This window comes from Homo sapiens, chromosome 22 (assembly GCF_000001405.40).
Source record: "Homo sapiens chromosome 22, GRCh38.p14 Primary Assembly".
Taxonomy (NCBI): domain Eukaryota; kingdom Metazoa; phylum Chordata; class Mammalia; order Primates; family Hominidae; genus Homo; species Homo sapiens.
Window position 1 is genome coordinate 28,401,634 of NC_000022.11, and position 15,397 is coordinate 28,417,030.

A 15,397-nucleotide genomic window follows, 5' to 3' on the forward strand; every position below is an offset into this window, starting at 1 on the left:
AACTAAACCAGGTCAGGCACAGTGGCCTGCATCTGTAATCCGAGTACTTTGGGAGACTGAGACAAGATGATTGCTTCAGGCCAGAGGATTCCTTCAAGCCAGACCAGCCTAGGCAACAAAAGCGAGACCCCATCTCTACAAAAAAAATTTTTAAATAGAAAAATTAAAAATTAACCACTAGGCTCACAGGAGAGCATAGACATAATCAATTAATTTACTGATTGATGATGCCAGACCTAAATATTAACTTGTTAGAAAAAGTTCCATGCATTTAATTCACAACTGCTATGTTTCAGACACAGGATTTTTAAATTGACCCTTTTCTTAGATAAAACCCAAGCTCTCCCTCCCATCTGTTTACTGGTCAAGTTCCCCTACCCTTGGTCCAAATTTAAAGTCTGACTTCAGCACTAATTACACTTAAATATGTACTCCCAAAGAATACATCTATCAGTAAAGGCTGATGCACTGAAGACTGAAGTCTTCTCTTTAATCCCAGAAATGGTAGAATAGTAATAGCAAATACAATACCACCATTTTATGTGAGCTTGTCAGAGAAAACTTTGGCATGGTAGGCCTAGGAGAACACGTTTCCAGTAGCAGTGGCAGATGGATGACACGGAAAAACAAGCTCCTGGTGTCCACAGTGAATAATGCCTAAAGTGGTAACAGGAGACACAGGGCTTACAAGCACTGTTATTTTATAAAGCATAGAATGTCAGTTCACTAAAAGTCCTGTGGTGGCACATGCAATAAATAAGACCTATTAACACTTTTCTTTACCTAAAATCACCCCCAGAGAGTTAGTTAAGTAACTCACTTCTTAATTCACATTGATCATTACGTGTCATTGGTTTGTGATCTTTGATAACAAGGGCTTTCTGGACTTCTATACCTTAAAATTTTTAGGCCCTACTTTTTTTTAGGCCTATCTGTAATTATTTCTCATTTTAAAGTATCCAAGTATAGAACTGAGCAGCACATCTATGTCAGACAGATCCAGTTTCAAACCTCAGATCACTATGTAGTAATTCTGTGATTCTCGGCAAGTTACTGACCCACTCTTAAGACTCAGTTTCTTCCGCTCTCAAACAGTCATTCTAAAACTCTCACAGTACTGTTAAAATGTAAAGCAGCGTAGGCTTTGCACACAGGACACACTCAGTAAATGGTAACTGTTGCTATCATTAGCGTTGACAACTTTTCTCCAGTAAGTCTATGCCTCTGTTTAACTCCATCTGTGAAACTAGAAACGAATTTCAAAAGTTTCATTTCCAATCATGCTCTTACCAGCAAGATTTAAGATGTCTTTTTTATTATAAGTCTAATTACTCTTGGGTCAGAAATCAGCAAGAGGCCTATCTAACTTCTATACAATCTCCCAGTCCCCAGAAGGTAATTTAACCTACGGAAGTAGCCAATCTCAAAAGCTAAAGATGTTGTGCTTTTGTATCTCCTTACTGGGCTTAATCTGTTAATTAAGCAAACCAGGAGAAGTAAACAAAAGTTTACCTCAACCAACTCTTGCCAGACTTATAGAGGGAATACAGAACATGATCACCAGTCTTTGCTATTGGCCAATAGTCTATTGTAACCAGCGCTAGAGACCCAACACGACTATCTACAAGGCTGACACATGGAAAAACGATTGGTCCAAAACATTTTGTCTTCATCACAGATGATTCCGTTATGAATAAAGCCGTTTTCCTCCTCAGAATATTAATAATACTGATGTCCAGAAGAAGATGTGGCTTAGAGAATGGGCAGGTGGATTCCATAGTGACAGTTCAACTCATAAAATGAACAATTGCCCTGCACCCTTGTTTAAATATGACGCCAGGATCTAAAGTCAAAGTTTTGCTAACATTTATTCATGTTACCTTCTGTTTTAGGTCCTCTATACAGATACCACCCTTAGCCTGATGTCTCCATGAAGGCTCATTTTGCTTTTCCTTCAGCTCCCTTACCCAAGTGCTTCAGGAGAAACATTAAATCGATGCCTTCAACTTCCAACATACCTGGCAGCCCATCAAAGATGACTCTTTAACTGTAAATGATAGTATCCTGTCTCGCAAATGCCCATTTTGTCTGCTTCACGTATAACAAGGGTGTGAGAGGCTATAGGAGAGTATTAGACAGGTTTTACTCGGTTTCTTGCCATCAAAGGTAAACAGTTTTGTATTGTTCAAAGCAGTCATGGGTCTCATTTCCTCATAAAAACAATCTCTACAGCTATTTACACCATAGGGCTAAGGAGGTCAGTCAGTGTTGGAAATGCAATTAGGGAAGACAGACTTTTTTTAAGTAAAGAAACATCTGCCCAAAAAGCTTAGGTAACAAGCCTCCATCATCATGTGGCTTTGGCTTGGCTTTTGATCTCTTTTCTCAAATGGCAGGCTCCAGAGGCAAATGACACATAGCTACTAACAAAAAGACATCCTAAATATTAATTTAAAAATTTTTAACTAGAATATATGTTTTTTGTTTGTTTGTTTGTTTTTTGTGAGACAGAGTCTTGCTCTGTTGCCCAGGTTGGAGTGCAGTGGCACCATCTCGGCTCATTGCAAGCTCTGCCTCCCTGGTTCACACCATTCTCCTGCCTCAGCCTCCCGAGTAGCTGGGACTACAGGTGCCCACCACTACGCCCGGCTAATTTTTGTATTTTTAATAGAGATGGGGTTTCACCTTGTTAGCCAGGATGGTCTCGATCTCCTGACCTCATGATCCGCCCGCCTCGGCCTCCCAAAGTGCTGGGTTACTGGCGTGAGACACCGCGCCCGGCCTATATGTGTTATTTTTTAAGATATACACACAAAAAGCAAACGGTGTTGTTGGTAGATGTGGACCACTGTTCTACACACACTTGTTATCCTCTCCAAGCACCTGCCTATGTGTCAGCCCATCTGATTCCCTCCTCTCCTGCTTCTCACTCATGGCCTGCATCCCAGGACTTAACCTCCAGTTTCTTCCCTCTCTCTATCATTCTTTCTATCACCGCTTTTCCACTCACCCCTGATTTTCTCACTATCTTCTCAGATGTACCTCTATGACAACTTATTACTAGAAGCATTAACAATGGCTTCACCATTAGGTGTCAAAGTCTCAACTGTTCATTTTATATATCTCAGAAGGGCAGAGTTTTAAGGGAGATGAAGTTTGGAGAAGTGAGGATGATAATGATCACCACCAAGGGCCAGAAAAGGTGGGAGACAGCAGAAAATTGTTTTGAGTCATACGGGGCTGGGAATGACCAATGACTGATGGCAGCAGGGCTTGATTATGTTACTTTCTAATACTTCCTGAAATGCATGGTATTTTTCCTGTTTGCCCATTGGTTCACTATTTAATAGTGTGTGTTGTTGAGACAAGAGATTTTATTGACAGCTCGGAGCAATTAATAAAGAATTCTATCTTCACACAGGGTTTTCTTGAAGAAGGCTCAATTTACTTGGTATTCAGTCTGTAAGATCATGTTCATTCTGCTAAAAGGATCATATGTCAGTTTTTACTCATACACAATTCATCATGCAGAAGGTTTTTTTAAATGATTTTGACAATGTTTTTGAGATTTAAAAAATTAAAACATCCTATATACCTAAAAATAATCTCTAAGTTCCTTTTTAAGACTATGATTATGATTGCATTAAAAATATTAAAATCTATGGTAAAGTGTTATTTCTATTTGTCATTCACTCAACAAATATTCCTGAGCAAACCACAATGTGCAAATGATTGCAATGGGCCCAGTGGAGACAAAAGGGTGGTCACAGAGCCTTCCTTCAAGGAGAAGCATTTATAAATGTGCATATACAAATAGCTATAGCAGAAGGTAGAAAGCATGACCTACCACAAAAAGGATACAGTAAAGCACTCTTGAAGTACAGAGGAAGAAGAGATCCATTTCAACTGAGGGACTCATGGAAAAGATAGTAATGGTGAGTAGGTCAGACAAGAGGCTAACAATTTTACTGTGTAGTAGAATTTCAATTTCTGTGAATTTCTCTGGGAAGCTAAATTTCCCATGGAATTTACAGGTACTATGTCTCTCTGAGGTAAGGGGCAGGACTCAACTCTGGACCAGACTAAAGACTGGCTGAAACAGGGAAGAGGTGCTGAAAGCACCACTCCATAAGATACACCCACCAGCACCATGACAGTTTACCATTGCCATGGTAATACCCAGAAGTTACCACCCCCTTTCTAGAAATTTCTGAATACACCACTTCATTTGCATGTAATTAAAAGTGGGTATAAATATGACTGCAGAACTGTTCCTGAGCTACTGCTTTAGGCACACTGCCTATAGGTTAGCCCTGCTCCACAAAGAACAGTACCTCTGCTGCTGCTATACACTGTCACTTCAATAAAAGTTGCTGTCTAACACCACCAATTCCCCCTTGAATTCTTTCCTGGGTGAAGCCAAGAACCCTCCTGCGCTAAGCCCCAATTTTGGGGCTCGCCTGCACTGCATCTTGTTCTTAGTATTCCTGTCTATTACATCTCTCCAGTTACCTCTTCCATTCACTGAAATGAAAATATAAGGAAAAAACACAAAGATTTAACTCTTAAATTACAATGAATTAGTGAAGGGAATAAAATACAAGCATAATTCACTCAGCTAAGCCTTATGCCCTTTGTATTTGATAGCAATAATCCCACAGTAACTAGAACACACACTTATCTTATTAACGAGACTAGAATTATTTTAATTAGGTATCTCCACATGCACCAACTGTTAGAAATTAGACTGTTTTGAAACAGTTGTTAATGACTTAACACGGCAAATGTTTTCCCAAATTTCAGGCTGAAATCTATGCTTGAGACAGATGGGGAAGAGCCTGGCCCTGCTGTGTAGCGGAGGAACAGCCTGGTGGGCCTAGAGATGCATTTTCTACTGGGATTCAGCAAAACAATCCTAGGGACACATAGAAAGATAATCATAAACTTTGATAACATCTGTTACATTAAAAGTTTGAAGTCTGGCACTAGTAAACACCTAAAAATTGGGGAAAATGCTTTATTTCAGAAACAAGTCTCTAAATTTCAAAATTTAAAAACACCTAATGAGAACATCAGAAGTCCAAGGTCTAATCCTAGTCTTCTGGTTAACCTGGGTGAGTCTGTGCTCGCCCTTTAACAGACCCTCCTCTTAGACAAGAATCAGGACTCATATGGAGTTCCTCTCTATGCTTTACTTCCTCTGGGAAATGATTTTGTTTTCAGTTTATTGTTAATTCATGGAAAAGCTTTAAAATTTTGGAAAGGCTATTAACAAATTTACAAAAAACTTTACTGGACCAATTTTGGCCCTCTGAGGAGGCACACACCCTAGAAATTCTAACCTGTCTTAAAGAGGTATGTGGCCTGCCTGAAGCAAGATCAAGATGTGTTGAAAAGCAGTAATTATAAAAGGAATAAATTTTATGTTTTGACAACTGGATAAGTTATATTCTCTTGGTACTTCTTAGAAGGTAAGTCTCCAACTGCCTATGGACAGCAAACAAGTTAAAAAAAGCGGGGACACAATAGTGGACATTTATTTATTCTGACTTATTTTAACCTAATTAGGGAGAAAATAAATAAGAGTTCCCTTCCAACCTGTCTAGTCTTTTCCTAGACCGAGACAAAGATAATTCTGGAGAAAGCAGGAGAAGAAAAGCAAACACAAGCACAGCAATACTAACTTCCAAGGCTTATGGTATTTTTGTGTCTGACGTTTCTCCAAGGCTCTACTGAACAAAGGCCTTTCCCCAACATGCTTGTCCAGTATGCCCAGGTTCCCAGGTTCGGGAATATGGAAGAATTGTTACACATACACATATACACACACATGCGTGCGCACACACACACACACACACACACAGTAATGCCTTATAAAAGGTTTTAGTGTTTAGATTACACAGATTGTCTTGATTTTCTATACAGCTGAGAGTCAAAGTAGGTATGGCTTAGTAATCCACTTAATTGCTTCACTGCCTGATTAAATTTGTCAGAGCACTAATCTTATTTTATAAGAAAGAAAAACATTACAGTTGTTACAAGTGACAATAACATTTAGTCTAGGTATTTTTGCAGTATTATGGGCTTTGTGACTTGCGCATATAATGAATACAGGGATAGAATCACTCGCTGACAAATTCTTATCTCCCCTATTTTTCTAGTTCTTACATGGCCAACCACTTCTATTGGAACATAATGATCAAAGGGGCCATTCTATTGGATCTGGCATTATGCCAAGTATACAACTCAAGGAATTAAATCGAATGTCATATAGTCAACATCCTTTCTAAGGCCACAGGATATCAATTAACTCTTAGAATGACAATATTCTGGAAAAAATTGTTTATAACTTCTTCGTAACCTCTCTTATATTTTAGTAATTTCTCTTATATTTGGGTTACATTATGGGACTAGTAACTGTGCATTCAGCTTTCTGTTTTCTCCTTTTTTATAAACACATTTTTATAGAGTAGACTTAATTAATAAGATACTAGGAAGCCGACTTCCTAAGAGTTGCACAGGACTGAAAAAAAAACAATAAATAACGTTTCTAAAACATCACTATTTTATGTGGCAAATACACAACTTTCCAATCCCATTCCTCAATGAGTTGTTTTAGTTCCTCGGGAAGAACACGGAGATTGAACCATGTGTCTTCTAAAGTCTGTTCCACCCAGAAGATTTCATATAATTCTCAAAGTAATGTTTCACTTCATAATAAACACAATTAGAAAACACTATGATGAAAAAGTCCCAACTTTCATTTTTTTTTTTTTAGACAGAGTCTCACTCTGTCACCCAGGCTGGAGTGCAGTGGCGTGATCTTGGCTCACTGCAACCTCTGCTGCGCAGGTTCAAGCAATTCTCCTGCCTCAGCCTCCCGAGTAGCTGAGATTACAGGTACCTGCCACCACACCCGGCTAATTTTTGTATTTTTAGTAGAGACAGGGTTTCAACATGTTTGTCAGGCTGGTCTTGAACTCCTGACCTCATGATCCACCTGCGTCGGCCTCCCAAAGTGCTGGGATTACAGGCGTAAGCCACTGCATCCGGCCCCAACTTACATTTTAAAACTCAATCTTAAGCCAGTGCTTTTCTACAGATGACTTACAATGACTACAGGCCACCAACATGTGTTGGAAAGTAACCTGCAATTAAAATGAGCTCTTCGAATGAGTCTTGAACTACCACATCTGAAAGAGAAGGTGAACAAAGTGAGCTACTTCTCATGTAGGACAGATGGTACAGTTACTCAGAGTCACTTAAGAACTAGGCAACAGTATATCTTGCATAGAATTTCTTCAGATCATGTTTCATTATTCACTAAACTTAAGGCTGAATCTCTTCTGAGCTACTGCAGCATAGAGGAATCAGTTCCAAGCTTCCAGCTGCAATTTATGACTCTTTTCGTTGCTTCCTTGTCCTCCTTGTAATGTTATACAATATCCACCTTCAAAATGTGGGAGTTTCACTCTGCCCTTTTCCTGCTGTGAAAAATTAGTGATAATCATGAGAAGAAAAATAACAATTCTTAAATACTACAGTTCTTAAAACTAAAAAAGAGATCACTCTCATAATCATGTCTATTGTTTACTGACTCATATTATTAAAGAGCCGAGAGAAGTGCATCTTTCAGAGACAAAGAAATTCAACCCAGCAGTCATCTAATTCAATCTCTTATTTGATGCCAAAATCCCATCAACAGTAGCCCTACAATCCAGAGCTGACTATGTCTATTAACAGAAAATCACAACTTCCATCAGCAAAGCATCATATCCTGAGACCATTCTAACTCTTTGAAAGTTCTTCTTAAATAAAACAAATAAGCCAAAACAAGTTTCTGTCATTTCCATCACCTGCTCCTTGTACCACTTTAAAAAATGTACACACGTTAATATATATTATATATACATATGTTATATGTGTTTATATGTTATATATAACATATATAAAAAACATATATGGAAACATACATATGTGTATATATAATTCATATGCCATAAAATTAACCTTTGTGCTTTTTCTTTTTCTTTTTTTTTTTTTTGAGATGGAGTCTCGCTCTGTCACCACTGCATTGCAGTGGCAAGATCTTGGCTCAGCGCAACCTCCGCCTCCCGGGCTCAAGCAATTCTCCTGCCCCAGCCTCCCGAGTAGCTGGGACTACAGGCGCACAGCACCATGCCCAGCTAATTTTTTGGATTTTTGCTAGAGATGGGGCTTCACCATGTTGGCCAGGATGGTCTCGATCTCTTGACCTCATGATCCGCCCATCTCAGCCTGCCAAAGTGCTAAGTGTTTTTTTTTTTGAGACAGAGTCTCGCTCTATCACCCAGGCTGGAGTGCAGCAGCACGATCTCAGTTCACTGCAATCTCCACCTCCTGGGTTCAAGCGATTCTCCTGCCTCAGCCTGCTGAGTAGCTGGGACTGCAGGCATGTACCATCACAACCGGTTGATTTTTGTATTTTTTGTAGAGATGGGGTTTCACCATGTTGGCCAGACTGGTCTAAAACTCCTGACCTCAAGTGATCTGCCCACCTCGGCTTCTCAAAGTGCTGGGATTACAGGTGTGAGTCATAATGCCTGGCCTGTGCTATCTTTTAAGACAATGCAGAACAAAGCTAATTCCTCTTCCATATGATAATCTTTCAATGACTTGAGGAAGTTATTATATTCCTCTTCTTCTTACTAAACATAGGCATTTCCCTCTGTCATTCCTCATTTTAAATAATTTAAAATCACCTCTCTCATCCACTCTGTTGGCCTTGGTGACTATTGTGAACATATTCTTGTTTATCTATATTCATCTTAAAATTACTTAGGCTTTATCAGAAACATGCTAAATAATGAATAAAAATAAGTTATGGAACTGTAGCAAATATTTCATTGTGAAAAGGAACATAGATTGTATTCGTGTGAGAGAGAAGAGGAAACTGTGAATCCTAAGCACAGACCTTAGTAATCAACAGAAGATGTGTGGGATTCAGAAAGAATGAGGTCATTCAAAAAGGGGGAATAGCCAAGTAGGTTGAAAGGAGCCCAAGAGAGACTAAAGCAATATAAGGAAAACAAAACTGGTATTCAGCAAGATTACAATCAGAAAGATATTTAAATGATGAATTTAGAATACATTTGTGAGGATGAAAAGATAAAATGCCTAGAAATAGAAAAAAATAGTAATTTACTGAACTAGCAAATAACATGAATTTATAAGGCAGAACTCTATTTTTCAACCTTTTCTAAAGAAAAGAATTCCATCTTTAATGATGTAAAGTTCAATATACAATATTTTTCATTAATAATTCTTACCTTGGATGAAATTAAAACAAAACAAAACACAAAGATAAACTGAACAACTATTTCTAAAATGGTAATTTGAAAATGAAAAAAAGACTTCATTTTTATTCAATTCCTTTATTTTCAAGTTTGTGTAAGAAATAGATGGACTAAGTTCTCTTGCTAAACAGGCAAAGTTTTTATATTCTAATGAACACCTGTTCAGTAGGTATTATTTTTTAAAAAATCGATACCCCAGAACGAATTCTTCTAATAGGTTTTAGATTAAAGCAGTGCATCTTTGTAATGTTTTGTCGCCTTCAAAAATTTGTCAAGTCCAGCTTTCAGAGTGAATAACAGAAACACTTGGAGATCCTAGCTATCTGATGCCAAGAAAAGCAACTACAGAGTTGTTCAACTCTTATGAAAAGGCATTCCTACTCACAGAATAGCCATGTTTATCACATCTAGAGATCTAAAAGAAAGCTTATTCCAAGAGTCCATTCTTAATATGTAGTCTTGGAAAAGAATTCTGATTCAGAAGAACGTTCTTATCCTTCCTGAGAAACTCAGAAAGAGGTTCTGCAAAGAAGATCTGAAAAAATTCATCAGAAAGCAATGCTTACAAGATAATACCATGTTCCCTGACAACTAAATGAGAACTACATCCTTTCCAAAAAGGCACAGGATGAAATAATGCCTGCAGGAAAGTACTGGTTTCACAGCAACAGTTACAATGTCAGTTTAATAGCTTTTACTATTGATGATCTCTGTGGTTGCATAGGCAGTGAAAATAGTGCCTTAAGAAGAATAGTTCCAACCACTATATACCTAGCAGTGTATAAGGAGAAACAAATGTACTACCTGAATTATTCAAGTTTTCCTTACAAGAGATATGAGAAACAACCAAAACCAAAAATTCCTTGTTGCCATTCTGAGATCTAGCCAACAGAATCATAACATACAGGTTCGAGGATCCTGCTCTCCAGAAGTTCTATACCCTGCTGGTTGCCTAAAATAAAAACCCTACATCAATGTTATTTCAAAATATTCAAATACTTTAAAGTATTACAATTTCAATGTAATAAAAATACTATGGTCACTAGAAGTAATGAACAAAGAATAGTAAGGCAAGTTCTATAAGTGGGTTGACACGTCACTGAGGCTTATCCCCTGTTTTAGTTGGTGAAGGAAGCTGGGATTACACAGGTTCTCCAAATATATGCCTTGCTAAAGGACACAAAACTGCCTTCAGATATCTGAAGATCTGTTCTTTAGAAGATGAATGGAGGCTGTGCCAGATGGCCACAGCCTTTGTCACTTCTTGGTTACAACTATTACAAACTGCCTCAGGTTGCTTAGCAGACCTTCCTGCTACCCTTCTCCAGAACAGCTCCTTTCCAGTTCATCCTCCACCATGCAACCATGCATCCTCCACTATGTGGCGGGGGGCGGGGGGAGAGGGCAGAAGTGGGAGAAGAGCTCATGATTCTCTGCCAAGTTTGGAAAATGTCTATTGAATGTGTGCTGGCTCCTAAAAACCAAAACTCCTTAGCCTGGCATACAAGTCCTTCACAATATGACCCTATCTAGCTTTCCAGCCTTGCCTCCTTATGACTTCCAATCAAATGTATGATGATCCCACTACAATACTCTTCTCTCCCTACCAGATATGCCAGGTGTTTTCACAATTCTGTGCTAGATATATGCTTTCCACACCCTTCTTCCATTTGACAAAATTTTACTCCTCCTTTAGTGCCAGCTCTGCTCTCAAAGTTTGTTAGTGTACTGTTCTTACGTTCATTTCACAATTTCAGCATGGACTGTGTTTTTATGTAGTTTGTGTATTTAGGCATGGTGATGCTTAGTGACAGAAAAGGGAGGAAATGGGGCAGGTGGGCTGCAGAGACAGGAATGTAAAACAGTGGTAGGCAAACTTTCTCCATTTAAAATATTTTATCTAAACCCTTGGCTATCAGCTTTATGATTACTAAGGTCTGTGCTTAGGATTCAGTTTCCTCTTCTCTCACACTAATACAATCTATGTTCCTTTTCACAATGAAATATTTACTAGAGTTCCGTAACTTTTTATTCATTATTTAGCATGTTTGTGAAAAATCATCTCACTCGCTGTGTTATTTATATATCTAATGCCTAGGAGCACATTCAGGTGGGTTTCTATGAAGAATCCAGGCATCGAAATGCCTAATCACTCCTTTCAGATTAGAAACTTTCTAGTCGTCTCAGCCGGGCGCGGTGCCTCACGCCTGTAATTCCAGAACTTTGGGAGGCCAAGGCGGGCGGATGACGAGGTCAAGAGATCAAGACCATCCTGGCTAACAAGGTGAAACCCCGTCTCTACTAAAAATACAAAAAAAAATTAGCTGGGCGTGGTGGCAGGCGCCTGTAGTCCCAGCTACTCGGGAGGCTGAGGCAGGAGAATGGCGTGAAGCTGGGAGGCGGGGCTTGCAGTGAGCCTAGATTGCGCGACTGAGCGAGACTCTGTCTTAAAATTAAAAAAAAAAGTTTCTAGTCGTCTGATGTACTATCAAAAAACAATGTCAACTGTATTTTATTTTCATGAAATACTAAGCAATAAAATTGGATTTTATTGTTTAAATGTTGCGACGAACTCTGGTACTTACACCAATACCAGAGGCAGCTTGGAAGGCAGCCACAGGGGTTAAGGGGAATTAATTTTGCTATAGAAAAACATAACTTATTTTAAATTTATAATGCAGGAGAAATGCCTTACATTTAAAAACACTCTGTCAAAAATTATTTAGAATGCTAAAGAAACAAATCTATGTTTTCAGTAAATTTCAATTAAGGCTAAAAGTTAAAAAAAAGGTGGTAACTTTCCACCACCAATGACATGGGCTGTGGCTCATATCATTAATGATGATACAGCAAAATAAATGAAGGAGGACTTTACTTGCTTTGGGCTGTGAAGAAGCAAAGTATAATGACAGCCAAATGACATTAAACCCAAAAGAGAGGTGGAAACTATGTGATCTTCGAGCTTTGTGGAAAGTATTATAAACATGAAGAGAAGAATGAACAATTCAAACTCAGAAAAAAATTCTCTGTTTAATCCATTATGAAACCTAGACACATGTCAAAGCTTAGATGAGCTTAAATATTATTCTTTTCACCTATTTCTGTCAATCATTAATATGTCACATCATCTAATTTTGTGTGTTGTACGCACATTTGAAATAAGTCTTCATTTCTCTTCCAAGTAAAATGAGTAAGTACATAACAGAAAGAAGGCTGTACTCTGGCTTGATCTCCTTTGGTTGGAATTCACACCAGGAAATGACCTTTCAGAAACAAACACCCTGCACAGATGCAGCATAGCTCTCTTGAGAGTAATAATAAATCTGAAGTTGATCAGACTGCAACTGAGGAATATTTGAAACATTTGGGATGCTAACTGCAACCCTCTAAAATAATGTAAAGTGATGGACAGTATAAGGAGAGCCCAGTGTGTCATGTTCTAGGGAGACAGTTCTTGTCAGACCGAGATGTCTCAGGATTCTATCAACTGAGAAGTCAGTTCTGAGTTGAAAACTGCAGCAGAGTTGGCCTATGGTGGGAAAAGCATTCTGACTGGAGACAAGCAACCCAGAGACATGTGTGTCAGAGATGAAGTGGCAATGTAGATAATGAGAAAAAAGCAGCAGAAAGAAGTATCTCAAAACCATAATTTTCTATCCAAGCATTTACATTAGTGAGTGGATATGGGGAAGAATTGAAGAGGGAAGGACAGGGCAGCGATGTAAGACAGTCCCTGAGGGAAGAAAAGTGAATACGCAAAAGAAAAGTGAATACGCAATGATCTAAGAACCAAAAAAGTAACAATATTCTGCTAATTGTCTAATAAATTCACAGTCTATATAATTCAATTTCCAATTTTGCATGGAAACTTCAAGAACTATCATCCTTTGAAATAAATGGAGTAATAAGCAATAATCAGTGCAATATTTACAACTCTTAAAAAATTTGTCATGAGGTTAGACAGATTTGATTGGTCTACTTTTAATATTTTAATCGCATACTTTTTTGAATTATGGGAAAAAACCAATGATCTAACACTGTATTCTAGTAAAATATCTGAGACAGGTTCTTACCATCTAGCTCACAAGTTTAATTATAATTGGCCCAATATGAGCACTGCCAGATGGATTGGAAAGTGGCTCTGAGATCACATAGGAAAATGATCAAGCAAAACATGTCAAATGAGAGGAGGGTCTGCTGTATGTGCCAAGGTTGGTATGGGGTCTGAGTTTAACAAAATCCTTAAATGACAAGAAGATATTATCAGATAAATGGAATTCCCTTGAGATAAATAAAAGAAATTTTAAATGAAAAAAACAGTTATAGCAAAGTGGAGACTATCCCTTGGAGGCATGCAGGTAAGCAATTACAACTTTTAATAGACAAAAAAAAAATGTAGTACAGATTTAAGAGAAAAATCATGTTGTTAAATCAGAGTGAAACATATTTTCAATGTGACTAGAATTATAGTAAGATCATATTTGGAAATTAATAAAAAGAAATTCAAAAACAGATTCACTTAAAATAGACCGTAGTAATCAAAAGGTAAATATGATTTGAAACGTCCTTTTAGAGATAGAATAATGTACTGCTTGACACTTTCCCAAATGCTTTCACATATATTATCCCTTGAGATGTACACAACAGTCCTCTGAGACAGGCAAAGTTCTATCCAATTTTACAAATAAGAAGCCTGAGGCTTTGAATGGGTACATAATGGATACACAGCAGGAACACAGAAAGACCGCCAGCAAACCTAAATTTGCTAACTGCTGTTCCAATGAGAGGAAAGGGATCACACCACTGTATAAAAAGCTTATGCTACTACAGTTGTACATCTTCCTTCAGTGCTTTATCAGGCATTTCAATCTCTCAAACTGGGCAAAACCCAAATAATGATATAACTTATTTAAAAAGGCCAAACTAGTTTCATAAAATTTTTAAAATACTAAATGTATACGTTTTCTCCATTTTGCAACCTTCAATAAAAAGTTTCAGAATGTGTTTATCTAAAAAAGGCATTGAACTTTCAGAAAAGCCCTAGAGTAAGAAAGCTTAAAGGCTTTCTTTTAAAGAGGCTCCAACATTTCGACATTAAAATTGGAATTTTCCTAAAACTTTCCCTATCTATTCTATAAAAATTGCCTGATTTTTCTTTACACTGAACTCTAAAAAACACATTGGAGAAGCCAATCTCATGGTTACAAGAAGTACATTCAAGAGTCTTATGCTCCCACCTCTGGTTCCATTAACTTCAGTGTACACTATCACAATATTCTATGGATTGCTTTGGGGTTTTTCTCCTTTACCCTTTGAAAGATTTCCTCTCACCAAAACCATGTATTAATTAAGAGGATATTAGAAGAAAATATCATACCCACACACAATTTCCTACATAATTCTGAACAGTCTCAGAAGATACTGATCCTCCATGTGTCAATCTGATGTGATGGAAATTATTTCAATATCATGTGGTTACTACCTACTGAATACAATCTCCCCATCTCCATCCCTAAAGAACTTTATACTTTGCTAGTGACAAATCAGAGGAAGATTTACCAGGCTGTAAAATGGAACTTGTTGTTGTTGTTGTTGTTCTCCTAGAAATACTCTTTTCTTATGTCTATCAATCTTACTGCTTCAATAAAACATGACCCATTAGGGTGAGCTCCACCAACATGACTTGGCTCAGTTTCGTCACTCCAAGATTTTAGATTACCCTTACCAATCTTCACAACCCATTCGGGAAAGCATAGCACACAACACTGAAACAAAAAGCTCGATGACATAGTAACATACTCTGCAAAGAGACTGGGAACATTTAAACAAAACCACAAGACTATGGAGAAAACAAAGATTCAGAACTCCTATGATAAAACTTTATTACATTCATTTAATCAACGAATATTCACTGAGTACTTCATCTCTATATAAAGAACATATTCATAGAAAATGCCACATCCATAGCATATCCATAATATTAATAACTTTCCATAAACAATTTTGCAAGCGAGTTTCTTTTAGCACAGTTATTTTTTCCCAATTTAGACAGAGTTCAGAAA

General features: G+C 37.8%; 1 protein-coding gene across 11 annotated transcripts in view, besides 1 other annotated feature; it reads right to left on the reverse strand.

Moving 5' to 3' along the window:
• The window catches only part of TTC28 (tetratricopeptide repeat domain 28), a 701,827-nt gene that overhangs the window by 423,620 nt on the left and 262,810 nt on the right, over positions 1-15,397 (reverse strand). The gene's annotated exons all lie outside the window — the stretch shown is intronic.
• Positions 7,793-8,293: an enhancer, noted in NCBI's record as "H3K27ac hESC enhancer chr22:28805414-28805914 (GRCh37/hg19 assembly coordinates)". NCBI's record gives its function as "activates a minimal SCP1, AML or CMV promoter by ChIP-STARR-seq in naive and primed H9 embryonic stem cells {active_cell/tissue: H9 hESC(naive and primed)}" and the evidence as "EXISTENCE:reporter gene assay evidence [ECO:0000049][PMID:30033119]".